Here is a 25,969-nt window from a genome sequence, read left to right as displayed (position 1 = left end):
TGGATAAATGAGCTTGTGAAGCCTCGAAAATTTGCTCTTTAAATTTTGAAATATCCAAGGTTAAGTTATCATCCCAGGCTTTTAACTGTCTTGAGACCTTTTCCCAGCTATGCTGATCTTTATTACAAGCATAAGGCATTATGCAATAATCAGAAGTATTCCAATCACACTGTAATTGCATACAATGTTCCAAATTCGTAACTCTGTCTCCCAGCCAGATTACACTCTGGTGAACATCATTAATTTGATTAGCTAATTTTTGATCAATTTGAGCCTGAGAATTCCAAGGTCTGGAGGCATTTTTTTGCCATGCTTCAACATATTGAGTGGTTTGAACAGAATTGTGGATGGCAACTCCAGCGGTTGCCACTGTTGCAGTAACTGCAATTAGACCTGCAAGGACTGTAACAAGAGTAAAAATAAATCCCTTTGTTCTTTTGAGGATACCTTTAAGAACTTCATTGACTATGTGTATAGAGGGGGAAGACTCCCAAGGACGATGTAAAGAAACTGGTATCCATACCCCTCCCTAGCCCTTACCAAGAGAATACTTGTTGTGGGATTAAAAGTAGCATCAATGCACGTGAACAGCTTACACTTATCACATTCTGTAGTTTGTGTATTGGGAATGATAATTATATTTCCAACCAACAGCACGTAAGGGGGTTTGACACAGCTCCTGATGAGTATCATCTGTTCAGATATCAAGGTGATGTTGAATGTGGGTGTTTTGGTATTAGTGTGAAGGAGTTGATAGGTAGTGTTCCATATCCTTATTCCTGTCATAGCTGCAGCTAATTTCCATAATTCAGGATGTTCTGGGGTAACAAAGGGATGAATCATTTTTGGTCTAGGAAGAACAATGCCTGCAGCCATCCATTTAAATGGGTAAGGAGACACCCATTGTCTCAACCTGTATGACTGCCATCCATCATCTATATAATCTAACAAATAATTAAACTCCGAGCATGAGGTTTTTTTGCCAAAGCAATCTTGCCACTAATGCCCTTTTGGAGCCCAACCAATAACAATACCCGTGGCTAGACTTTGGAGCACAACAGCCTTGGGAGCATTACAATTATTCCATAAAATTGAAGTCACTATAAAAGGTCGCTTTGTAGGTTTCTTTGGTCAGTCTGGCAGTCCTTTTATTAATTTTAGTAGTGACAGGAACTCTCCATTCCTCAGGTGGATTAAGTTTGACAGTGAGAACTTGAAAAGAATTGGTATTGAACACATTATATACTCGATAAGAATCATTTGTAAAGGACGGTACGGTCCACATCCAATTCTGGTAAGAATAAGCTAAACAGCCAGAAGACATCCCAATGCATAGTGGTGGATATTTATAGCCAATTGACAGATTAAAGTGCATACTTTCATCTTCCGGTTGAGCTGGAAACCTATCATCATTAGGGACTGGGATGAATGCACTATTATTAGTGTAAACTTCTACTGGGGAGTCCATCCAGGAGACAGACCAAATTAAAGGGGGAAAAGGAACATATGCCCAGTAAGTATAATTTTGAGTTGCCCCAACCGGTGGTATACTTATGGCTGCACTGACTACCATAAAGGCAGCCAGAATTATATTACCTGTTGTTTCTGGGATTCCTTTTTCTTTTAATAAATTTTCTGTTTGATGAGACAAAACTTTTATTTGACCCCATGTTGGTGGAGTTTAATGAGAGGTGTTATATGTCACATGGCGAGATCTTGTCTCAATGTCGAGGTCATGAAGTTTATGTGTCAGGCAGCAAAAGTTGCTCTTTGGTTTGAGGAGTCTTTGCCTTTTGTTTCCGGGAGCGTTTCATCTTTGGAGTTATGGTACAATTTTAATTGTCGGGAGGGGACCCACATGGGCTGTAGTCCTTTTCCTGGGGAAACACAAGCAAAACCCCTACCCCATGTTACAACTGTGCCTAAGTCCCATTGTTAGTTTTTGAATATTTTCACCATACCCGCATTCCTTTTTGTGGATCAAATTTATTTCCAGTGAAATATTGTTCTGCTGTGGAAAAAGGTTGATTTCTTGCTATGTTTAAGAAATTTAGGGTAAAAAGAGCCAGATTTAATTGAGCATGAGGAGTAGCAGCATCCCTCTTTGTTTTAGTGTCCTGTTTTCAAAGTTGATTTTTGAGTGTTTTATTGGCTCATTCCACCAAGGCCTGTCCTTGAGAGTTACAGGGGATGCCAGTTGTGTGAGTAATTGCCCATGTTTGAGTGAACTTTTTAAAAGCAGCACCAGTGTAGCCGGGGCCGTTATCAGTTTTCAGTTTCTCAGGACAGCCCATAACCGAGAAACATGAAAGCACATGTCGTTTACCATGAGCTGTACTTTCCCCTGGGTGACAAGTGGCCCAGATAAAATGAGAAAAAGTGTCGATAGTTACATGTATAAAAGAGAGCTTGCCAAAAGCAGGATAATGAGTCACGTCCATTTGCCAGAGAGGGTTCTGTGAAAGTCCTCTAGGGTTAACTCCTGAAGACAGTGGCTGTAAAATTAACACTTGGCAAGTAGGACAGTGGCGCACAATGGTTTTAGCTTGTTTCCATGTGGGGGAACTTTTTTTGGAGTCCCACAGCATTGACGTGAGTTAAGGCATGAAAATTTTCTGCATCTGTAAAAACGGGAGTATCAGCTCAGGCATTTGCTGCCGAGAGGGGTCCAGGGAGGGATGTGTGGGCCCGAATGTGAGTAATGTAGAAAGGAGAAGACCTTGCTCTGATCACAGACTGAAACCTTTGAAAAAGAATGAGTAGGTTATCATCAGGAAGAAATTTGATCAAGGCAGTTTCAATGTTGCCAGCAACATGTACTACATAAGCTGAGTCAGAGACAATGTTAACTGTTTTAGGGATATCTTCAAGGACAGCCATAAAGCAAGCAGCTCAGCTCGTTGTGCTGAAATAGCCCCTGTGCTAAGAACACGTTCTCTTGACCCTGTATATGCTGCTCGGCCATTACAGGAAGCATCAGAAAAAACAGTGACAGCTTCAGCTAATGGGGTGTTTCTAGTAATGTTAGGAAAAATCCAAGAAGTGAGTTTAAGGAACTGAAATAATTTCGCATTAGGATAATGATTATCAATTATACCCGAGAAACCTGCCAAATGTACTTGCCAAGTGATGCAAGTAGCAAAAGCCTGTTCAACTTGTAACTGGGTAAGGGGAACAATGATTTTTTGGGGCTCTGTACCCAAAAGACGAAGGACACGAGAATGAGCCTGACCAATTAAGATAGAAATTTGATCTAGGTAAATAGTTAGTGTCCATAAAGAGCTGTGTGGAAGAAAACACCATTCAATTAAATTATGTCCCTGAATAATGAGTCCTGTTGGTGAATGTTAAGTAGGAACATTACTGCCCCCTGCCACCACAGGATCAGCGTCAGTAGATCTCTGTTGCACCAGAGATATTTCTCTGCTGCCTGGAGAGCCACCTATTGCTGTTCCCACAGGTGTTTTTGGTCCCTTGCCGACTGGCAGTGTCGGTTTGCTACTGGGTCGTTTGCTACTGGGTTAAGTAGGAAAATTTATTAAAAGAAAAAGAAATTCCAGAAACGACGGGTAATATAATTCTGGCTGCCTTTATGGTAGTCAGTGCAGCCGTAAGTATACCACCAGTTGGGGCAACTCAAAATTATACTTACTGGGCATATGTTCCTTTTCCCCCTTTAATTCGGTCTGTCTCCTGGATGGACTCCCCAGTAGAAGTTTACACTATCTATCAACATTTCAAAAGGTAAATGTGGATTCACTCTGGTAACCTGAGACTGTTGAATGCATTTTTCTATAAATTGTAATTCAGAATCTGCCTCAGGAGTCAAGGACCTTTTGCTGCATAAATCAGGATTGCCCCACAACGTTGCAAAAAGATTAGACATAGCATAAGTAGGAATGCCTAAGGAGGGAGGAATCCGATTAATGTCTCCTAGTAATTTTTGGAAATCATTTAGAGTTTTTAGGGAGTCTCATCTGAGTTGAACTTTTTGAGGCTTAATGACCTTGTCCTCTAGCTGCATTCCTAGTGATAAGGGTAAGAAGTCTGAATTTTTTTGGAGCGATAACCAAGCCAGCTGCTGTAACTGCTTGTTGTAATGCAGAAAACCAAGATATTAATACAGAGCATGAAGGTGCTGCACAAAGAATATCATCTGTGTAATGAATAACATAACATTGGGGAAATTAATCTCTTACTGGCTTTAATATGCATCCCACATAATATTGACAAATAGTAGGGCTATTAAGCATACCTTGAGGTAGGACTTTCCAATGGTAACGTGCTGCAGGAGTGATGTTGTTAAGGGCTGGAACAACGAAGCAAATTTTTCAAAGTCCTGAGGGGCCACAGGAATGGTAAAGAAGCAATCTTTAAGGTCAATGATGATAAGTGGCCAATACTCAGGAATCATAGTGGGGGAGGGCAAACTGGGTTGTAATGTTCCCATAGGCTGACGGACAGCATTTACCACCTTAAGATCAGTAAGCATTCGCCACTTACCAGATTTCTTTGGGATAACAAAGACAGGTGAATACCAGGGAGAAAAAGAGGATTCGATGTGTCCCAATTTTAACTGTTCAAGAACCAAAATATGAAGTGCCTCCAGCTTATTTTTTGGGAACGGCCACTGATCTACCCAGACCGGTTTCTGAGTTTTCCAGGTCAAAGGGATGGGATCTGCAGGCTTGATAGTGACCGCTTCTAAAAAGAATAACCAAGTCCTGTAGTCTGATTCATCAGTAGGTATAATAGGCTCGGTGATGCCTTGTGCTAATTTTCCTAAGCCCATACCTTGAACAAATCCCATTTTGGTCATAACATCTTTACTCTGCTGGCTGTCATTGCCTTCCGGAAAAGAAATCTGTGCCCCCCACTGATATAAAAGATCTCTTTCCCATAGGTTAACAGGAATGCGTGTAATGAGGGGGCAAATAGTTCCAATAGTTCCAATATTTCCAATAGAAATATCTCTGGTACAACAGAGATCTACTGCTGCTGATCCTGTGGTGGCAGGGTCCTTCAGGGCTTGTGCAATGTAAAATTGTGGAACTTTCATATACTTCTGAAGCCTGACCAACACCAACTAATCCTGTGGACGCATGCTTCTCTGGCCAATGTCGGGGCCATTGATGTAAAGCGATAATAGAAACATCAGCGCCCCTATCAATGATTCCCTCAAACTTTCTCTCCTGAATATGCACGGGGCACACAGGATGAGTGTCAGAAATTTTGCTGGCCCAATAAGCTGCTTTACCTTGATAATCTGTGCTACCAAAACCTCCGTTTCTCGTACAAGAACTGGATCCTAAAGGAATGTAAGGAAGTATCAGAAGTTGAGCAATGCAGTCCCCAGCTGCCACATTCCAAGGGACTGTAGAGCTAATGACAATATGAATTTCACCTGAATATTCAGAATCAATTACACCAGTATGTACTTGAACACCTTTTAAGTTTAGACTTGAATGACCCAGTAGCAAACCGACACTGCCAGTCGGCAAGGGACCAAAAACACCAGTGGGAACAGCAATACGTGGCTCTCCAGGCAACAAAGAAATATCTCTGGTACAACAGAGATCCACTGCCGCTGATCCTGTGGTGGTGGGGGACAAGCATTGTACTGAGATTCGTGCTGGGGCTAAGCCGTTAGATCTTGTGGCACAAATTGCTGAAGTGGGAATCAGGATGGAGGTTGAATGGATTGGACTGGGAAGGCTCCCGTCTGGCTGGACGCTGGGGGCTGGGAGCTGAGGAGTGCCTCATTGTTTAGAGGGGCCTGGGTCCGGCCCCTCATCCTGTTTTCCTGGATGTTAAGAGGCTGTAAAGGATAACCATCAATATCAAATCTTGAATGACAGTGAGTGGCCCAGTGAATTCCCTTTCGGAATGATGGGCATAAAGTAGAAGCTGGGACTTTTGGTTGCTGAAAAATTTTTTGTTGTTGGTGGTGTTGTAAAGAACGGCGACCTGTACGCCGGGGGGAATTTCTTTTTATATGTCCTTTCTGGCCGCATATAAAGCATTGGCCAGAGAATTGTCCAGGCATTCTAATAGAGGCCATAGCTCATGCCATGATCATTGCTGTATGCAGAGTTCCTCCCACCCCTTCACAGGCTTTAATGTAGGAGGTGAGTATTTCACCACCTGGTGGAATTTTGCCTTTGACGGGAAGAAAAGCCGCCTGACAATCTGGATTTGCTTGTTCATAAGCCATGAGTTCTACAAGTCATTGGCCATGGCTATCAGGGATAGCCTTTTCTGCTGTGTCCTGGAGATGAGCAATAAAGTCTGAGTAGGGTTCATGTTGTCCCTGTCTGATGGCCATGAAAGATGGGCATACTTTACCATCATCTTGAATCTTGTCCTAAGCATTTAAGCAACATTTCCGCAATTGTTCAATAATCTCATCATTTAGTATAGTTTGGTGTCGAATTGCAGCCCACAGACCCACTCCCAGTAACTGGTCAGCCGTAACATTAGCAGGAGGATTAGAACCCTGATTAAGACAAATGCATTACTGGACAGCATCAACCCACCAAGTCCTGAATTGTAAATACTGGGACTTAGGTAAGACTGACTTTGCTAAAATTTCCCAGTCATAGGGAACCAAACATTCACCTTCTGCCAGGGCTTTTAATGTGGAAATGACAAAAGGAGAGTTGGTGCCATATTGTTCTACTGATTCCTTGAACTCTTTGAGAAATTTAAAAGAAAAACTTTCGCAAGTAGCAGGGTATAGCTGAACTTGACCTGGATGTATGGGGTCAGGTTGAACTACCACCTGAAGAGCTGGAATGCCAGATACAGGCTGTGCCCCAGCGGCAGGCAATTGCGGAGCCTCATTATTACTCTGAGCAGCCTGTCGGGCTGAAGGGCATGATTATCAGCGTCTTGATCTTGATAAGCAGCGGGGTCAGCCGCCTGCTGAGCAGGATCAACAATGGGCTGTGGGTGATTTTGTGCTGCTGGGGTGGCAGGTAGTGTACGTTGTAAAACTACAGGAAATTGCCAGGCTTCAGGATCCCTGTATTCCCTTGCCTGAGCTATATCCCTCATAAGTGGAGTGTCATTTTCAAAGATACATGTAACTTGTTGTTTTTGCGAGGCAATGGTAGTGTTGGCAACAGCAATAGCGACTGGACAAGGAGCAGAAAAAAAGTGGGAATTTTGAATAGAGGGAGAGTTGAGAACCTGAAAGCCAGGATGAGAAGAGATTACCTGCTAAGCAGGTCTTTCATGGGCCTGAAAGCCAGGTTACCATGGCAACTATGGACCAGGCTTCAAGGAAGTCTGTGACTGTAGCTGAGCCCAAGTAGGAGGAAAGGAACCAGGCTTCAAGGGAGCCTGTGACTCCAGCCGAGTCTCATTAGGAGGAAAGAAAACAGGACTCAAGAGAGCCTGCAACTCTAGCCCTGTCTGATTAGGAGGAAAGGAAACTGGCTTCAAGGGAGCCTGTGACTCTAGACTAGTCTGATTAGAAGGAAAGGAACCAGGCCTCAAGGGAGCCTGTGACTCTTGTTGAGTCTGAGTAGCAGGAAACGAACCACGCCTTGAAGGAGCCTGTGACTCTAAACAAGTCTGATTAGGAGGAAAGCAACCAGGATTCAAAGCAGCCTGTGACTCTACCTGAGTCTGATTATGAGGAAAAGAACCTGGCTTCAAGGGAGCCTGTGACTCTAACTGAGTCTCAGTAGTAGGAAAGGAACAGTGCCTCAAGGGAGCCTGTGACTCTAACCGAGTCTCATTAGGAGGAAAGGAACCAGGCCTCAAGAGAGCCTGTGACTTTAACAGAGCCTGTGATTCTAACCGAGTCTGAGTAGAAGGAAAGGAACCAGGCCTCAAGGGAGCCTGTGACTCTAACCCAGTCTGATTAGGAGAAAAGGAACCAGGCCTCAAGGGATCCTGTGACTCTAATGGAGACTGATTAGGAGGAAAGGAACCAGGACTCAAGGGAACCTGTGTCTCTGAGTCTGAGTAGGAGGAAAGGAACAGCACCTCAAGGGAGCATGTGACTCTAACTGAGTCTGATTAGGAGGAATCAGGCCTCAAGGGAGCCTGTGACTTTAATGGAGCCTGTGACTCTGAGTCTGACTAGGAGGAAAGGAACCAGGACTCAAGGGAGCCTGTGGCTCTAGCCGAGTCTGTGTAGGAGGAAAGGAACCAGGCCTCAAGGGAGCCTGTGACTCTAACCGAATTTGAATAGTAGGAAAGGAACCACGCCTCAAGGGAGCATGTGACTCTAACTGAGTCTGAATAGGAGGAAAGCAGCCAGGCTTCAAGGGAGCCTGTGACTCTACCCACGTCTGATTAGGAGAAAGAGAACCTGGCTTCAAGGGAGCCTGTGATTCTAGCCAAGTCTGATTAGGAGGAAAGGAACCAGGCTTCAAGGCAGCCTGTGACTCTTGCCGAGTCTGAGTAGGAGGAAAAGAACCAGGTCTCAAGGGAGCCTATGACTCTAAGCGAGTCTGATTAGGAGTAAAGGAACCAGGCCTGAAGGGAGCCTGTGGTTCTACCGGAGTCTGATTGGGGGGAAAAGACCAGGCATGAGAAAACCAGGCTGTGGAGGGATATCGTTGCGGGCCTCATTACCTGGCCGAGAATTGAAAGCCTCCTCTCCGGGCTGTTCAGGTATCAGAGCCTCTGTACCGGGCTGCATGGAAACAATTTATAGCCTCGTTTTCAGGCTGCCTGATCTCATCCTCTGTCTGCAGGGTGGCAGCGTTGACAGGGTGAGGAGAAGCAGGGGGGTGCGTCCACAATGGTTGTTGGCATGTTTCAGCTGAGTTTTGCTGGTTGGGGGAAATAAGTTCATTCGGGTCAGTTAAAAGATCATCATAAAGCGACAACGGGGGTGCGGTAGCCTCTTGCATACGTGGTGGCGGCACAGGCATGTCAGAGTGGAATTCCGCCTGTGAAATTATGGTCTCAATTTGTGCAGTATCCTCAGGGGAAAGAGAAGTGAGAAATTCCTCGCCCTCCTCAGGGAGAGGAAAGAGGGATCAGTCTCCATGCTGTCCTGAGTCTGTAAGGAGTCTAGGACAGAGCGAACCGAAGCCCAGATTGACCAAATGGTGGGTGGAATAAAATGTCCCCCTTTATGAGCAATTTTGAATTGTTGGCCGATCTCATCCCAATCTTTAAGTTCTCAAGTTCCCTCAGTCGGAAACCAAGGGCAAAGAAGATTTACAACCGCAAATAGTTCAATTAACTTTTCAGTAGAAACTTAAACCCCTCCTTCTTTAAGAAGAGTTTTTATAAAATTTAAATAAGCTGAGTACTTAGTACTGGCTTGTACCATGGTGTCCCCAGAATACTCTGAGTGCTCAAGCTTACCACCAAGCTTACTAACAGCAATCCTCAGGAATCTCTTGTCAAAATCCTCCGCTGAATCCCGCACTCAGAGTGCAACCTCACACAGCGAGGGAGAGCCCCACATCAGAGCGCCAGATGTAGGGTCCAGCCCCACAGGGTCAGTGGGTTTTCTCCCCATGTGCAGAGATGAGAGATTGTAGAAATAAAGACACAAGACAAAGAGATAAAAGAAAAGACACCTGGGCCTGGGGGACCACTACCACCAAGACGCGGAGACCAGTAGTGGCCCCAAATGCCAGGCTGCACTGATATTTATTGGATATAAGACAAAGGGGCAGGGTAAGGAATGTGAACCATCTCCAATAATAGGTAAGGTCACATGGGTCATGTGTCCACTGGACAGGGGGCCCTTCCCTGCCTGGCAGCAGAGGCAGAGAGAGAGAGAAGAGAGAGAGACAGCTTATGCCATTATTTCTGCATATCAGACATTTAGTACTTTCACTAATTTGCTCCTGCTATCTAAAAGGCAGAGCCAGGTATACAGGATGGAACATGAAAGCGGACTAGGAGCGTGACCACTGAAGCACAGCATCACAGGGAGACAGGCCTCTGGATAACTGCGGGCGGGCCTGACTGATGTCAGGCCCTCCACAAGAGGTGGAGGAGTAGTCTTCTCTAAACTCCCCCGGGGAAAGGGAGGCTCCTTTTCCCAGTCTGCTAAGTAGTGGGTGTTTTTCCTTGACACTGATGCTACTGCTAGACCATGGTCCACTTTGCAACAGGCATCTTCCCAGACACTGGTGTTACTGCTAGACCAAGCCCTCTGGTGGCCCTGTCCGGGCATAAGAGAAGGCTCACACTCTTGTCTTCTGGCCACTTCGCACTATGTCCCCTCGGCTCCTATCTCTGTATGGCCTGGTTTTTCCTAGGTTATGATTGTAGAGTGAGGATTATTATAATATTGGAATAAAGAGTAATTGCTATAAACTAATGATTAATGATACTCACATATAATCATGTCTATGATCTAGATCTAGTATAACTCTTCTTATTTTATATATTTTATTATACTGGAACAGCTCGTGCCCTCAGTCTCTTTCCTCGGCACCTGGGTGGCTTGCCACCCACATAGGCAGTCATGCCATTCACTGAAAAGCAGAAGCCAAAGGAAAACCGGAGCCTAATCAAGTGTTTTAAACACATCAGGTTTGAAATGCCTATGAAGCACCCAAGTGGAAATGCTGAGTAGGCAGCTGGGCTCCAGGTATCAATCTAGTCTGGGAACTGAGTTTGGAAGATACCAGCAAACATCAAGCCACCAATGAGGATTAGGTCACCTGGAGATTCCCAATTCCATGGAACAGAGGGCCTGAGACTGAATGGCCAACATTTAGACAAGAAGTCTGCCAAGGCTCAATCCAGGTCTCAGGCCAGAACTGTTAGCGCAAGAAGCTCCTTGCTCCTAAGAACAGAGCCTGGCCTGGTAGGTGCCATGCTGGTTCCCTGAGGATGATACCTGCTCAGGAATGAAGGCAACATGCACAAAGGTACCAGGTGAGGGACTGGACCCAGGGATACCACACCCCTGCATCTTCTGTACTTCCTCTAACATAGGTGGTCAGCATACTCTTTCACTCCTTATCCAATTTTATCAAAAATAGAGATTAGGGCAATATGACATAACAGCATTAAGCACTAAACCATTTGACAGGGATTCCTTTCAAAAGTGAAAACCAGTGTACGATTATACAGCTTCTCCACTAATCTTTGTTACCAACAGCCACTTAATCTAATCCTAAAGACTGAGTACAATATTCCTTCTACAATACTTTGAACACTCACTTCAATTTATTGCATATTTTCTAAATGCACCTCTCTCTCTCTTCTGAAAGAGAGAACATTTCATCAGAAAACGAACGGGGTCTTTTGCCTATCTGATGGTCTCACACCTTCACAACAGCTACAAATCCTTGGACCAGCCAGGGACAGACCAACTCCAGGGTTCTCTGACAACAGAAGTCCTGGAAAGGCTCTGCACTCAAAACAAACCCCTACACCACCCCAAGGGAGGGGGATTGTTTCAGGTTCGGGGAGACGCTAAAAGAAATTGAACCTAAACTCTTCATCAGGCATGTCCAGAGTGGCTTTGGCTCTCCATATAGAGCGAGGCCTGCAGACCCTTTGGCTCTTCTTTCTGGTGGCTCCATCTACAGGTTGCACCTGGGCTGAATAAGCAGCTGTCGGGGAGAGAAGCAGCGTATGTCAGAACTGAATAATAACAATTAACATTACCTGTACAGTTATGTTTGCCCATACAATTCTAACCACCTTGCATAAATTAACTGATTAATTCCTCAAATTTGTAAGGTTGATATTACTATCATCCCCCACTTAGAGAGGTTCAGTAGTTTGCAAAAGGTGTTAGTACTACTATGTGGTAGATCCAGGATTTGAACCTAGCTGATCTGGCCCCAGGAATTGCACTCAAACTGTTATGGGATATGGCTTCATTGCTAGTAGAGAAAGCCAAGACACAAAGACATGAGGCAGCTTTCCCCAACCCAGGAGCAGGACCAACATAGGACCATGCTCTTTCCCACTCCTCCCAGGGCCTCCCCGCTGCTTCCCAGGTTCAGTCCTAGGAAGAGGAAAGAGAGGTCCACGCTTTCTGTTTCCCTGCTCCCTCAGGCTTCCCTGAGCCCATCTCCTTCCCCCACCAGGCTTGTTGCTCTGGGCCTTCTTCCTTTCACCCCCTAGACACTTCCTCCTTAAGTTAGGCCTTCCTGAATCAACCAGTGGCTAGCTCCTCACCAGCTCTGAGAGCCCGCAGGGCCTCACGCCATTCGGCTTCCATCTGAGCCCTATAGTCTCCAAACAAGGAGTGCATCAGCTGCCTCTTCCGGGGCAAGGGCGTTCTTTTGCTGCGCAGGGTTCGGATTGCTCCAATAGCCTGCTCTTCTGCGAATAAAAATAAAGGACTAGTGAACACCTCTATTACTGACCTCCTACCACCCCGCCGCAAAGCCAACAACTCCATACTCTGCCAGCACCTGCAGGCCAGGCAGTGCCACTGTTCACATCCCCCAGCTCTACAGAAGGGTCCCTTACTCTGTTTCGGGGTGGGTTTCTGCCTCTTGAGGCCCAGCTCCAGTTGCTCCACACACCAAGCCAATTCCTGGGCCAACTGTTGTGCCTGTGATGGATTTGGGGAAGTGGCTGTGAGAGGGCACTGGAAAACCATAGCCGCCGGCCCCATCCCATGCCCCTCCCCGCCTTAACTCCGCGGACCCCAGATCACACGTGCCCGTGGATTCGCACCCGTGGATTCCACCCTTCCCGACCGAAGCCCGCCCTTGCCTGGGCCTCAGCGCTTAGGGGAACTTCTTCTGGGGCGAGTTTCTCTGAGGCCTTCTCGCCTCCATTTGCCACAGAGGCCCTGTTCCGCGTTTTCTTCTTATTCTTTTGTTTTTTCGACGCTGTGCCGCCTTCATCGCCCAACGGGTGCGCTCTGGAGTCAGCGTTACTGCACGTAGGTTGCTCTGGGCAGAGACAGACAGTGGAAGGATTCCGGGCGCTGGAAACTGGGCCGGGAAGCCGGGCTCCGCGGGACGCGCAGGGAGTACCCGGGCCTGGGGCCGCCGCTGCCTCCCCAGCAAGATGTCCCAGGGCCTGGAGAAAGGGGGGTAGCACGAGGGTCACCGAGAGCCGCCAACAATGCAAGGCCCAGCCACCCGCGCGTCTTCTCCACACCGCTCACCGCCATGCGCCGCAGTCGCCACCGGAACTACGCGGGGCGCAGAGTCCGACGCCGAATTCCGTCCTTCAAGAACGCGCCTGCGACTCTAGGTTCCGCGGGGCGCGGGCGGGGCGCGGGCGGGGCGCGGGCGGGGCGCGGGCGGGGCGCGGGCGGGGCGCGGGCGGGGCGCGGGCGGGGCGCGGGCGGGGCGCGGGCGGGGCGCGGGCGGGGCGGGGCGCGGGCGGGGCGCGGGCGGGGCGGGGAGCGGGCGGGGCGGGGCGCGGCTGGGGTGGGATGAAGCTGGGACGGGGCGAAGCTGGGACGCGCCTGGGACGAAGCTGAGATGGGGCTGGGGCGGGGCCTGGGGGTTCGGGGAAGAGGCTGAAGAGGGGTCTCGGAAGAACCCTTGTGAGCGAGTGATCGCGGGCGCTGACTACGTGCCCGGCACCTTTCCGGATAAAAGTTCAAAGCTCTCCACGAGGGTGTGTCTTCTCAAGGCTCACCTTTTGGTGGGGAGGGAAAAGCAAGTAAACAGCACGTGAGCAGCTACGGCGCAAGAGGGTGGTCGGCAAAGACCCTGGGAAATGGGGAAGAGCGAGGGTCAGGGCGCGGTCGTTTGAGAGGCCGGCGTCTCGGGACGTGGAGGCTCGGGTGAGGTCTGAGAGTTGGGAGGGCCCCCGTCATGGGCTTACTTCCGTTCTAACGCAGTGGGAAGTCGCTGCAAGATGTAAATCTGAAGAGTGGCATAATCGTAGACGTATGTTCTGCAGATCTCTCTGCTCTTGTGTAACGAGTGGGGCACATGGGGTGGAGGGACGTGGAGGGGTTTCAGAAGCAGACGCGGGAAGAGCCTTGGACAGGATATGGACGTGAGGGAGGGTGGCGGTATGGGGGAGAGGGAGAGCCCCATCCCACCACCTCTCTTCCCCTGGATGCTTCCCTCCCACTATACCTTGCTAGAGACCTGGGGTCACACACAACACTCGACCCCCGCCGATGGAGGCATGACAACCGAGAGGAATTGCGTAGGGGTTGAGGTGAGGCTGAGTAGGGTTTCAGGGGGGCAACGGGCTATGCCAGGAGGGTGGGTTGTGTTGCTTGAGAAGGTAAGAGTCCGAGATGTCTGATGATTCCTTTCGGGGACACAGGAGTGGAAAGCGGTGTTTCCTGAGACGGTGGGGTGGGAAGTGTTAGCTGCCTGGTCTGCAAGGTCTCGAAGGGTTACAGTTTGGTCATCACTGATAGTTATTTACTGCAGTGTGATACATTACTCCCAAAATTCGGCGGATTGGCCGGGCGCGGTGACTCACGCCTGTAATCCCAACACTTTGGGAGGCCGATGCGGGCGGATCACGAGGTTAGGAGTTTGAGACCATCCTGGCTAACATAGTGAAACCCCGTCTCTACTAAAAAATACCAAAAAATTAGCCGGGCATAGTGGCGGGCACTTGTAGTCCCAGCTACTCGGGAGGCTGAGGCAGGAGAATGGCATGAACCCGGGAGGTGGAGCTTGCAGTGAGCCAAGATCGCACCGCTGCACTACAGCCTGGGTGACAGAGCGAGACTCCATCTAAAAAAAAAAAAAAAAAAAAAACACGCAGAATTTAAACGGGACACGCAGTAAAGGAGATGCGGCATACAGTAATTTATTACAAAGGAGAAAGAATATTTGGAAAGTTAAGTGAACAATAGACAGTACACCCTGAGAGAGAGAGAGAGGATTGAGGGCCAGCTGCTCATAAGGTTGGGGCAGCAAAGACGCATGAGGGAGACTCCCTTTATGGGGGTCTTACATGATTATTCATAAGGAATTGGGAAGAGGTGCTACTAGTGAGTATGTTCTGGATGGTCCTCTGAGTGCACATGTGCGGTAGCTGTATGTTCTTACATGCTTGTTCATACAATGCTTCTTGTCATACAATGCTTGTTCTACATGCTGGTATATGATTGTTCGTACATGTCACATGTCTTATTAGCATCTTAAACCTCCAACCAGGGCTCTGTTTTTTACTATTATAATGAGCGAAAGGTCAGTCTGAGGACAGGTAAAATCAAAATGTACATGCTCTTTGCAGGGGAAATTCTCTACTGAAGATAGTTTTGCTTGAAAGAGCTTAACCACAATGTGAAGGCAGAGGCTTATTGTGCTGATTGCACAGTCACAACAGTTGCTGCATCCCGAGGACATGGTTACTTCCTTGACTACCTATCCTGCCTCACTTTCAATGCTCTGATTTTATCCATTACCTTCCTGACTCATATGCTATTTTTGTCTTGACTTCATTTCTATCTTTGTTTTTAAATCTGCCATATTAGACTTAATTCTATTTACAGTCAGTGTTTTCAAATATACAACTTTTGTTTTTCTTAGAGTCCATGTCTCACTCTGTCACCTAGGTTGTCCTGGGCTCAACTGATCCTCCCTCCTGCCTCAGCCTCCCAAGTAGCTGGGACCACAGGCATGCACCATCATACCAGCTAATTTTGTAATTTTTTGTAGAGATGGGGTCTCACCAGGATGCCCAGGCTGGTCTTGAACTCCTGGGCTCAAGCAATCTTCCCACCTCAGCCTCCCATGCCTGGCATCATTCCTTATATCTCAGTTCTGATATCATTTCTTTAAATGTACATCCTTTTAAAGCTCCTTTAATGAAATCTGTTATGGTGTTTTGGGTTTTGCTCATCTGAAAATGCCTATTTTTATTCTAATTCCTGGAGGATAGTTTGGATAGAAACACAATTTGAGGTTAACAGTTATTGTCTCTCAGAATTTTGAAAATGAGCCATCTCTGTAGACCTCTCCCACCTCTGGGACCCCACTCAACCCTGTATTCTTACCTCTATTACTGTACTGATGTGGTTATCTGTCTCTACATACCTTTGTATCCCAACTAGACTGAGAGATATGAGGAAAAGAGGCCAAGTGTTTCTGCATCTCTGATTTGCCATTGTCAGGCACACTACCAGGCACATAGGGGCTGCACAGTAATTGTAGGTTGATGTAATCATGAATAACCTTGGATTTGAACTGTTGCCTTTCCAGTGCTATATTTTCTATGGTTCCTCTTGTGGCAGGAAACATGAGTCTTCAGAAAAGATTTTTCCATAGTTAGCAAATCACACCAAAATATTTATTAAGGGGCTGAATGAATAAGGCAATGGGATGGGTACGGTGAAAGAACAAGAGAAGTACCCTGACCTTGAAGGACACAGTTTAAGAAAACAGATATCCAGGCTGGGCACAGTGGCTCCGCATATAATCCCAGCACTTTGAGAGGCCAAGGCAGGCAGATTGCCTGAGCCCAGGAGTTTGAGACCAGCCTGGGCAACATGGTCTCTACAAAAAATTTAAAAAATTAGCCGGTTGTGGTCCCAGCTACTTGGGAGGCTGAGGCAGGAGGATTGCTTTGGGCAGCGGTGGGAAGGGGGATGGTGCAGGGGCGGATGTTGCAGTGAGCCAAAATTCTACGACCACCCTCCAGCCTGGGTGACAGAGAAAGACCTAGTCTCAAAAAAAAAAAAGAAAAAAGAAAGAAAGAAAACATATATCTAAATATGTTTATATATACTGTGTCTCCATTAACATAATTACAAGTTTGGATCACATTTTACTTTTATTTTTTTCTCATTTTTTTCTATGATAAAGCCTGATTTTTTAAACTTAAAATTAGCCTGAAGACTTTGTCACAGTATTTATGTTCATAAAGTTTATTGATAGAGTGGATTTTCTGCTACTGAACAGGCTCTAAACTATTAAAGACTACATACCCTGATACTTAATAAGTTTTGACACATAATATAAGGTTTTTGCACATGCATGAGATTCATAGGCTTTGTCTCTTCTTTGATTCTTTTTGATCCAGAAAGTGGTATGAATTCTGTATGGTCTTCCCATATTCACTGTACCCATAGGGTTTCTCTTTACCTGGAACTGCCTTAGGTTCTGCAGGGGCTATGAATCTACAAAAAAACTTTCCTACATTTACTGTAGTTATCAGATTTCATTCCAATGTGAATCTGCTGATGTATAACAAGGGTTGGATTCTGACCAAACACCTTCCCACATTCATTACACTCCTGTAATTTCTCTCTGTGATGAATATCCTGATGTCAAATAAGGTACAAATTTGGATGGGAATTTTTGCCAAATTCCTTGCATTCATATGGCTTATTTCCTGTGTGGATCCTATGATGTGAAATAAGGTGTGACCTGTAACTAAAGGCTCTTCCACATTCATTTACATTCATATGGTTTCTCTCAGCATGAACTCTGACAGAATAAGATTTAAACTCTGGATGAAAGTTTTCCCACATTCATTACATCCATTAGGTTTCACTCCAGTGTTAATTATCTGATTTTTAGCAAGTGCTGAGCTCCAATTGAAGGCTTTCCACATTGATTGCATTCACGGGCCTTTTCTCTACTGTGAATTATCTGCTGCTGAATAAGGTGTGATTTTGAATGGAAAGCTCTTCCACAGTAATTACATACTTATGACTTCTTTCCACTGAATTTTTTGATGCTGAATTAGGTGTGAGCTCTGTGCAAAGGTTTTCTCATACTTTCTGTATTCATGAGATATTAAATCTTTGGTACTTAATACATTTCTGGATAAAAGCTTTCCCACATTCATAATATTCATAAGGTTTCTCTCCAGTAAGAACTTTTATTTATTTATTTTTTGACACAGTATTACTCTGTAGCACAGGATGGAGTGCAGTGGCACAATCTCAGCTCACTGCAGCCTCCTCCCTCTGAGGTCAAGTGATTCTGCTGCCTCAGCCTCCTGAGTAGCTGGGATTACAGGCACCCACCACCAACCCTGGCCGATTTTTGTATTTTTAGTAGAGACAGAGTTTCACCATGCTGGCCAGGCTGGTCTCAAACTCCTGCCCTCAGATGTTCCACCCACCTTGGCCTCCCAAAGTGCTGGAATTACAGGCATGAGCCACCACGCCCGACCCTAGAACTTTTTAATGGTGAATTACAACTGAGCTCTAGCTGAAGGCTTTCTCTCGTTCATTACATTGACAGAGTTTCTTATCAGATAAATACTCTGATGTTCAATAAGGAGTAATTTCTGCATAACAGCTTTTCCACATACATTCACAGGGTTTCTCTCTCATGAGGCTTTTCTGATGTCTCGTTAAGTCTGAATTTAATTTGAAATTTTGGTCACACACCTGTCATTTCTGACACCTCTTCTGTAGGAACACTAGTATATATAATAGCATTTGAGCACAGACTCATGCAGCTCCTGTATTTGTTACATTTAAGACCTCTCTCCATTGCATGAGTGTTTGGATGGATCAGTATCACTGCCTGGAAATCTCTCTCTTGTAAAGAAAGGAAAATATTTGATCTGTCATCTGCAAGATGTTTGTAATGATTTTCTCAGTCTCTCTAATTTCTTTTTTTTTTTTTTTTGAGATAGAGTCTTGCTCTGTTGCCCAGGCTAGAGTGCTGTGGGGCAATCTTGGCTCACTGCACCCTCCACCTCCTGGGTCCAAGCAATTCTCCTGCCTCAGCCTCCTGAGTAGCTGGAATTACAGGCGCCTGCCACTGTGCCCAGCTACTTTTTGCATTTTTAGTAGAGACAGGGTTTCACCATATTGTCCAGGCTGGTCTCGAACTCCTGACCTCATGATCCACCTGCCTCAGCCTCCCAAAGTGCTGGGATTACAGGCGTGAGCCACCACACCTGGCCCCCAGTCTCCCTAATTTTTATAAGTTTCTTCAAGCTTGGCTTCCTGCAGAATGTTACATATAAATCTTTCCAATATCCACCTCCCACCTCAAGTGGCTCTCTTTCTTTTTTTTTTTTTTTTTTTTTTTTTTTTTTGAGATGGAGTCTTGCTCTGTCACCCAGACTGGAGTGCAGTGGTGCGATTTTGGCTCACTGCAAGCTCCGCCTCCTGAGTTCATGCCATTCTCCTGCCTCAGCCTCCCCAGCAGCTGGGACTACAGGCGCACACTGCCACGCCTGGCTACTTTTTTTGTATTTTTAGTAGAGACAGGGTTTCACCGTGTTAGCCAGGATGGTCTCGATCTCCTGACCTCATGATCAGCCTGCCTCGGCCTCCCAAAGTGCTGGGATTACAAGTGTAAGCCACAGTGTTGGGCCTCAAGTGGCTCTATTTATTTAAAAACTTCCATGTTTGTAGTTAGCTGGGTCTCAGAATCTGAAACAATCAAGAAAAAAGCATAGAAAACCATAACTAGCCAGGCGTGGTGGCTCACACGTGTAATCTCAGCACTTTGGGAGGCCGAGGCAGGTGGATCACCTGAGGTCAGGAGATCGAGACCAGCCTGGCCAACATGGTGAAACTCTGTCTCTACAAAAAATACAAAATTAGCCAGGTGTGGTGGCACATGCCTGTAATCCCCACCACTTGGGAGGCTGAGGCAGGAGAATCACTTGAGCCCGGGAGGTGGAGGTTGCAGTAAGCTGAGATTGCACCATTGTACTCCAGCCTGGGCAACAAGAGCAAAACTCCATCTCCAAAAAGAAGAAAAGAAAACCATAACTAAGAAAGTAATCAAATGAAATATGTAATACATGTAGTTATGTGGCAAACAGATTCAGGAGTATCTAAAAGCAGCCTTCCAAACACCAAGAGGTCAATAACAGTCCATGATCACCCCCAGGCAATACAGACACTTGGGGATTCTGGATTTCTTTTCATGTCTCTTAAATAGTGGTCCCTGGTACAGCTAGGTAGTAGATGAAGGCAGTTTAACTAAGCTCCATTCAGGGCCCAGTGTTTGTAGATGGTCAATGATGACACTTCATCAGGGTTATGGATGCTGTGTCTCAGCCCCATGGGACTGCTTAGGGAAAGAACACACAGGAGGAAGCTAAGGCACAGAACTGACCCCGTCACTGAGCCTAGTGCCTGCTGAGTGCTCACGCACACTGACAGTAAAAATGCCAGTATGGCCCAGTTTTAACGGAACCCACACACTTTCATGAGCTTTACCTCCTGAAGCCATAACAGGTTCTCACAGTGAAGATCTAAGAAAAAAAATCCCTTCATGCTTCCAGCAGTGGGAGGGGGAAATTAGCCATTCTGAAATATGCCCAGAGCGTATGGTTCTTCATAAAGCCCAACCTCAGGAGAAACTATTTTACCAGAGCCTAACCTGCTGAGGTTTTACCAGAGACAAACTGACCTGGGGAAAGGGAAATACCCAACTCCAACCTGCTCTAGCCTTTCTGTCTCATCTAAGGGGGATAAACCAATACAAAACTCAGAAGCACTTGTGAGGGTCACAATTTCACTGAAAGACTGAGACATACTCATAAGATTATGTGATGTTTCCCCTCCCTTCATATCTTACCCCAGCACTAGAGATCCTGAATAGTTAGGGGAGAATATAACTGAAAGAACTGTGTGTCTCAAACTTCAAGAAGTCTCTAGGATAACCCAAAGGCAACAAGGGAGACCAAAACAAGGACGCTGGAGACATTTTAGCCTCTGATACTGACAGCTGCAGCAAACAGAAAACGCAGCCTAACCGCGGGCCAGATAAAAACCTCACACTAAAGGCCTAACTATCAGTTCCTTTTAACCAGTGCATCGTATCTCACTTTCAATAAAATGTTACCACACGTTCTAGACACACAAAAAATATAGAATTTGAAAAGAAAAAGCAAGCATAAGAACCAAACTGAGCTTATGGCAGAGATGTTGGAAATATCAGACCTTGAATTTTTAAGACTATGATTAATATGCAAAGGGTTTTAATGGAAAGTGAGAACAATATGCAAGAACAGATAGGTAATATAAGCAGAGAAATGGAAACACTAAGAAAGAATCAAAAGAAAATGCTAGAAATCAAAAACATCATGACAGAAATAAAGACTGCCACCTGTAATCCCAGCACTTTGGGAAACCAAGGTGGGTGGATCACTTGAGGTCAGGAGTTTGAGACCAGTCTGGCCAAAATGGTGAAACACCATCTCTACTAAAAATTCAAAAATTAGCCGGGCATGGTGGCACACACCTGTAGTCCCAGCTACTCGGGAGTCTGAGGTAGGAGAATCATTTGAACCCAGGAGGCAGAGGTTACAGTGAGCCAGCCTGGGCAACAGAACAAGACTCCATCTCAAAACAACAACAACAAAAGGACTGGACACAACTGAAGAAAGAATCAATGATCCTGAAGACATGTCAGTAGAAACTTTCAAAATAGAAATGCTAAGAGAAAAAAAGAATAAAAAGGATGAAACAGAACATCCAAGAACTGTGGGACAACTGCAAAAGGTGTAACATATGCATATTGGGAATACCAGAAGAAGAATGAAGGAAAGGAACAGAAGAAATATTTGAGCCAATTGTAATAAAATTTTGCAAAATTAATAACATGCACCAAACCACAGTTCCAGAAAGTACAGACAACACCAGCAAGATAAATACCAAAATTCTATACACAAACATACCATATTCAAACTGCAGAAAATGAAGAACAAAAAAAATCTTCAAAGAAGCCGGAGGGCCAGACACGGTTGCTCATGCCCGCAATCCCAGTGCTTTGGGATGCCAAGGCGGGTGGATCACCTGAGGTCAGGAGTTCCAGACCAGCCTGACCAACATGGTGAAAACCCGTCTCTACTAAAAATACAAAAATTAGCCGGGTGTCGTGATGCATGCCTGTATTCCCAGCTACTTGGGAGGCCTGAGGCAGGAGAATTGCTTGAGCCTGGGAGGCAGAGGTTGCAGTGACCCGAGACTGCACCATTGCACTCCAGCCTGGCCAACAAGAGAAAAACTCCATTCAAAAAAAAAGGCAAGAAAGAAAAAAACTAAGCAAGGGTAAGCATTATATCAGTTTTATCTTCCAAAAAATGTTAAAAGTAACACCAGCCCCGATTCTGTATAAAGTGGCATTATCTTTCAAAAATGAAGGAGAAATAAAAACTCTCTCAGACAAAAATTGAGGGAATTTATTGCCCGTAGATCTAACCTTGCAAGAACTATTAAAATAACTTCTTCAGAGAGGGGGAAATGATAAATCAGAAACTAGTATCTACATAAAGAAAGGAAGAGCATTAGAGGCAAAATCAATAAAGGTAAATAAAATATTTTAGTTTTCTTATTCTCAATTATCTAATGGATAACAGTTTGTTTGAATTAATAATAGCAATGTATTTGGTGATTGTAGTGAAATGAATGATAGCAAAGTGGAGTTTTTTGTTTGTTGTTTGAGACAGAGTCCCACTCTGTTGCCCAGGCTGGAGAGCAGTGGCACGATCATGACTCACTGCAATCTCCACCTCCCAGGCTCAAGTGATCCTCCTGCCTCAGCCTCCTGAGTAGCTGGGACTACAGGCATGTGCCAATATACTTGGCTAATTTTGTTGCCCAGGCTGCTCTGGAACTCCTGGGCTCAAGCAACTGCCTGGACCTCCCAAAGTGTTGGGATTACAGACGTGAGCCACTGCACCTAGCTGATAGCAATGTTATAAGGGATGAGAGAAAAGAATTGGGAATACTCTGTTATAAGGTAATTGTACTATCTGGGAAGTAGTATAGCACTATTTGAAAAAAGACTCAGATTAGTTGTAAATGTACACTGCAAACTCAAGGGCTACTAATAATACAAAATAAGTAAAAAAATGTATACTTAATGTGATGAAAGGAAAAAACTAGAATCATACAAAATGCTCAATTAAAACCAAAGAAGGCCCAGGCACAGTGGCTCATGTCAATAATCTGAGCACTTTGGGAGGCTGAGGTGGGAGGGTTTTTTGAGCCCAGGGGTTCTAGACCAGCCTGGGAAATATAGCAAGACCCCATCCCTATAAAACATTTTAAAATTCTCTAAAGTGAAGGATAAAAAAAGAAAATAAATAAATTGTCTGGCCATGATGATGAACACTTGTAGTCCCACCTCCTTGGGAGGCTGAGTGGGGAGGATCACTTGAGCCCAGGAGTTCAAGGCTGCAGTGAGCTATGATCCTACCACTGCACTCCAGCCTGGGTCAAAGAGCAAGACCCTGTCTCTTAAAAAACAAAACAAACAAACAAACAAAAAAGAAGGCAGAAAAAGAATTGAAGACAAAAAACACACAAAGAACAATGGCAAATTATTAGAAAGCAGTAATAACTATGTTAGATATTGATCCAACTATATCAATAATCACTTTAAGGATCAATTGTCTAAATACACAAATTCAAAGACAAAGACTGTTAGAGTGGAGAAAAAACCAGACCCAGACATATGTTGTCTATAAGAAGCCAATCTTAAATATAAAGGTACAAATAGATTCAAAGGACAGAGAAAGATAAACCATGCTAACATGAACCAGAAGAAAGGCAGAGTAGCTATATTTTGGACAGGCCAGGTGTGGTGGCTTATGCCTGTTATCCTAGAATGTTAGGAGGCTGAGGCAGAGGGATCACTTGAGGCCAGGAGTTTAAGACCAGCCTGGGCAACATAATCTCTATAAATTTTTAAAATAATTATCCAGGCAGGATAATGTACTCTTATAGTCCATTGTTACCAAAACACGAGGGGTTCTGTCTAGGTCCTGCTGCTTGTCTCACAGAAAACCAATCACTCAGATAACTAGTATCGCCAGAAAAGAAGGCTTTATTCAGGTACTGTAGCTGAGGAGAATGGGAGATTAGTCTCAAATCTGTCTCCTCAATTGGCTAAATTTAGGGGTTTATATTGCAGGGAAGAAATGTAACTACATGTGAGAAAACAGGAATTAGGGAGCAGTAAGGAAGAGGATTTGGTCAACAGAAAGGAGATGGTTGGTTAGGCAATCCTGGTGGATGTTGGGGTCTGGCATCTCATTGTCTGGATGCAGTGATCTGGTAAGATTCAGTTCCTTGATACTATCTGGGAGGCCCAAGGGTCAGTTTCCTGAGGAAGGAACTCAGATAAGACAAACACAAGTTTCAAACTTTAAGACTGGGAGGATCAATTTCTTTTCTTCTTCTTCTTCTTCCTTTTTTTTTTTTTTTTTTTTTTTAGACAAAATCTTGCTGTTTTGCCAAGGCTGGAGTGCAGAGGCATGATCTCAGCTCACTGCAACTTGTGCCTCCTGGGTTCAAGCAATTGTTGTGTCTCAGTCTCCTGAGTAGCTGAGATTACAGGCATGCGCCACCATGCCTGGCTAATTTTTATTTTTAGTAGAGACAGGGTTTTGTCATTTTGGCCAGGCTGGTCTCCAACTCCTGGCCTCGAGTGATCCACCCACCTCAGCCTCCAAAAGTGCTGGGATGCAGATGTGAGCCACTGCACCCGACCTGGGAGGGTCAATTTCTTTGTTTATCCAAAAAAAAGTAAACATCAGTTCTATGGACAGTTGGGTCAATTTTACTATGATTGCCACTGCACTCCAGCCTGGGTGACAGAGCAAGGCTCTGTCTAAAAAAAAAATCCTCATAATAATTTCAGACGAAACTGACTTCATAGAAAGAAAAAAAATTATCAGGGATAAAGAAGGGAGTTACATGATCATAAAGGGATCAGTTTTCCAACAGGACATAGAAATCCTTAAGCTGTTTGCACCTAACAACAGAGGGTCAAAAAATGTGAAGGAAAAACTGATAGAACTTCAAGGAGAAATAAATGAGTCCACTATTATAGCTGGAGAATTCAACACCCTCTATCAGTAAATGACAGATTCAGCAGGCAGAAAAACAGTAAGAACATGGTTAAACTGAACAGAACCATCAATCAATTAGCTCTAACCAGCAGCTATAGAATACTTTATCCAATAATAGCACAATATACATTATTCTCAAACACACAGAACAATCACCAAGAGAGACCACATTCTGAGCCATAAAACACACCTTTATCAATTTAAAAGAATAGGGCCAGGCATGGTGGCTCACACCTGTAATCTCAGCAGTTTAGGAGGCCAAGGCAGGCAGATTGCTTGAGCCCAGGAATTCAAGACCAGCATGGGCAACATGGTGAAACCCAATCTCTACAAAAAATACAAAAATTAGCCAGGTGTGGTGGCATATGCCTTTAGTTCCAGTTACTCAGGAGACTGAGATGGGAGGATCACTTGAACGCAGGAGGCAGAGGTTTTAGTGAGCTGTGGTCACACCACTAGAGTCCAGCCTGGGGGACAGAGTGAGACCCTGCCTGAAAAAAATACATAAAGTATATGATCATACAATCTGTGGTCTCAGATGGCAAAGAAGTTAACCTGGAAATCAATGGCAGAAAGATCACTGGAAAACTCCAAAATACTTGGAGATTAAACAACACACTTCTGAATAACAGCTGGGTCAAAGAAGAATTCTCAAGTTAAATTTAGAAATATTTCAAACTAAATGAAAATGAAAATACAACTTATTTATCTCACAAAGTTGTGAGATGTGAAAGCAGTACTTAGAGATAAATTTATAGCATGGAATTCTCATATTAGAAGAAAGATACAATCAATAATGTAAGCTTCCACCTTATGAAACTAGGGAAAAAAGAATAAATCAAATCAAAGTAAGCAGAATAAATTGTTTCACCACTCACTGGGTGACCAGGTTGTGCAGCCAAGTTTATAAGATAGATAAGTGCCACTGAGGGAAGGCCTATGCATGATTTTGGGTCATTAAAACAAGTGGCACACACACCAGGCTCAAGTGGTATGTCATTTTCTTACAACAAGAGGAGAAAGAATGCACAGGATCCAGCCCTTTGCAATGCACAGTTCCCCCATTGACAGCAGTTTCACATCACAGCTGCGTTAGGCCATTCTTGCATTGCTATAAAGAAATGCCTACAACCAGGTCATTTATAAAAACAGAGGTTTAATTAGCTCATAGTTCTACATCTGCTCAGCTTCTGGGGAGGCCTCAGGAAGCTTGCAATCATGGCAGAAGGCAAGTGGGGAGCAGGCACATCACATGGAAAAATCAGGAGCAAGTAAAAGAGAGGAAAGTGCCACAGAC

General features: G+C 45.1%; 1 protein-coding gene and 1 pseudogene across 1 annotated transcript, besides 4 other annotated features; both read right to left on the bottom strand.

Moving 5' to 3' along the window:
* Positions 1–9,536: 9,536 nt before the first annotated feature.
* Positions 9,537–13,100, bottom strand: C8orf33 (chromosome 8 open reading frame 33). The gene is made up of 5 exons (NM_023080.3): positions 13,070–13,100; positions 12,670–12,981; positions 12,421–12,505; positions 12,124–12,270; positions 9,537–11,549 (listed from the first exon to the last, which is right to left on the bottom strand). The coding sequence occupies exons 1-5, from the start codon at positions 13,073–13,075 to the stop codon at positions 11,410–11,412; spliced, it is 690 nt and encodes a 229-aa protein (NP_075568.1). The 5' UTR covers positions 13,076–13,100; the 3' UTR covers positions 9,537–11,409.
* Positions 11,726–12,526: an enhancer, noted in NCBI's record as "H3K27ac-H3K4me1 hESC enhancer chr8:146278427-146279227 (GRCh37/hg19 assembly coordinates)". NCBI's record gives its function as "activates a minimal SCP1, AML or CMV promoter by ChIP-STARR-seq in primed H9 embryonic stem cells {active_cell/tissue: H9 hESC(primed)}" and the evidence as "EXISTENCE:reporter gene assay evidence [ECO:0000049][PMID:30033119]".
* Positions 13,175–13,244: a silencer, noted in NCBI's record as "silent region_19718". NCBI's record gives its function as "represses an Ori minimal core promoter by ATAC-STARR-seq in GM12878 lymphoblastoid cells {active_cell/tissue: GM12878}" and the evidence as "EXISTENCE:reporter gene assay evidence [ECO:0000049][PMID:35858748]".
* Positions 13,455–13,504: an enhancer, noted in NCBI's record as "active region_28113". NCBI's record gives its function as "activates an Ori minimal core promoter by ATAC-STARR-seq in GM12878 lymphoblastoid cells {active_cell/tissue: GM12878}" and the evidence as "EXISTENCE:reporter gene assay evidence [ECO:0000049][PMID:35858748]".
* Positions 13,545–13,674: an enhancer, noted in NCBI's record as "active region_28112". NCBI's record gives its function as "activates an Ori minimal core promoter by ATAC-STARR-seq in GM12878 lymphoblastoid cells {active_cell/tissue: GM12878}" and the evidence as "EXISTENCE:reporter gene assay evidence [ECO:0000049][PMID:35858748]".
* Positions 17,033–17,843, bottom strand: LOC100419763 (zinc finger with KRAB and SCAN domains 8 pseudogene; annotated as a pseudogene).

This window comes from Homo sapiens, chromosome 8, assembly GCF_000001405.40.
Source record: "Homo sapiens chromosome 8, GRCh38.p14 Primary Assembly".
NCBI lineage: Eukaryota > Metazoa > Chordata > Mammalia > Primates > Hominidae > Homo > Homo sapiens.
Note: the sequence above shows the minus strand (reverse complement) of the source record. Positions and strands in the feature narration are given on the sequence as shown.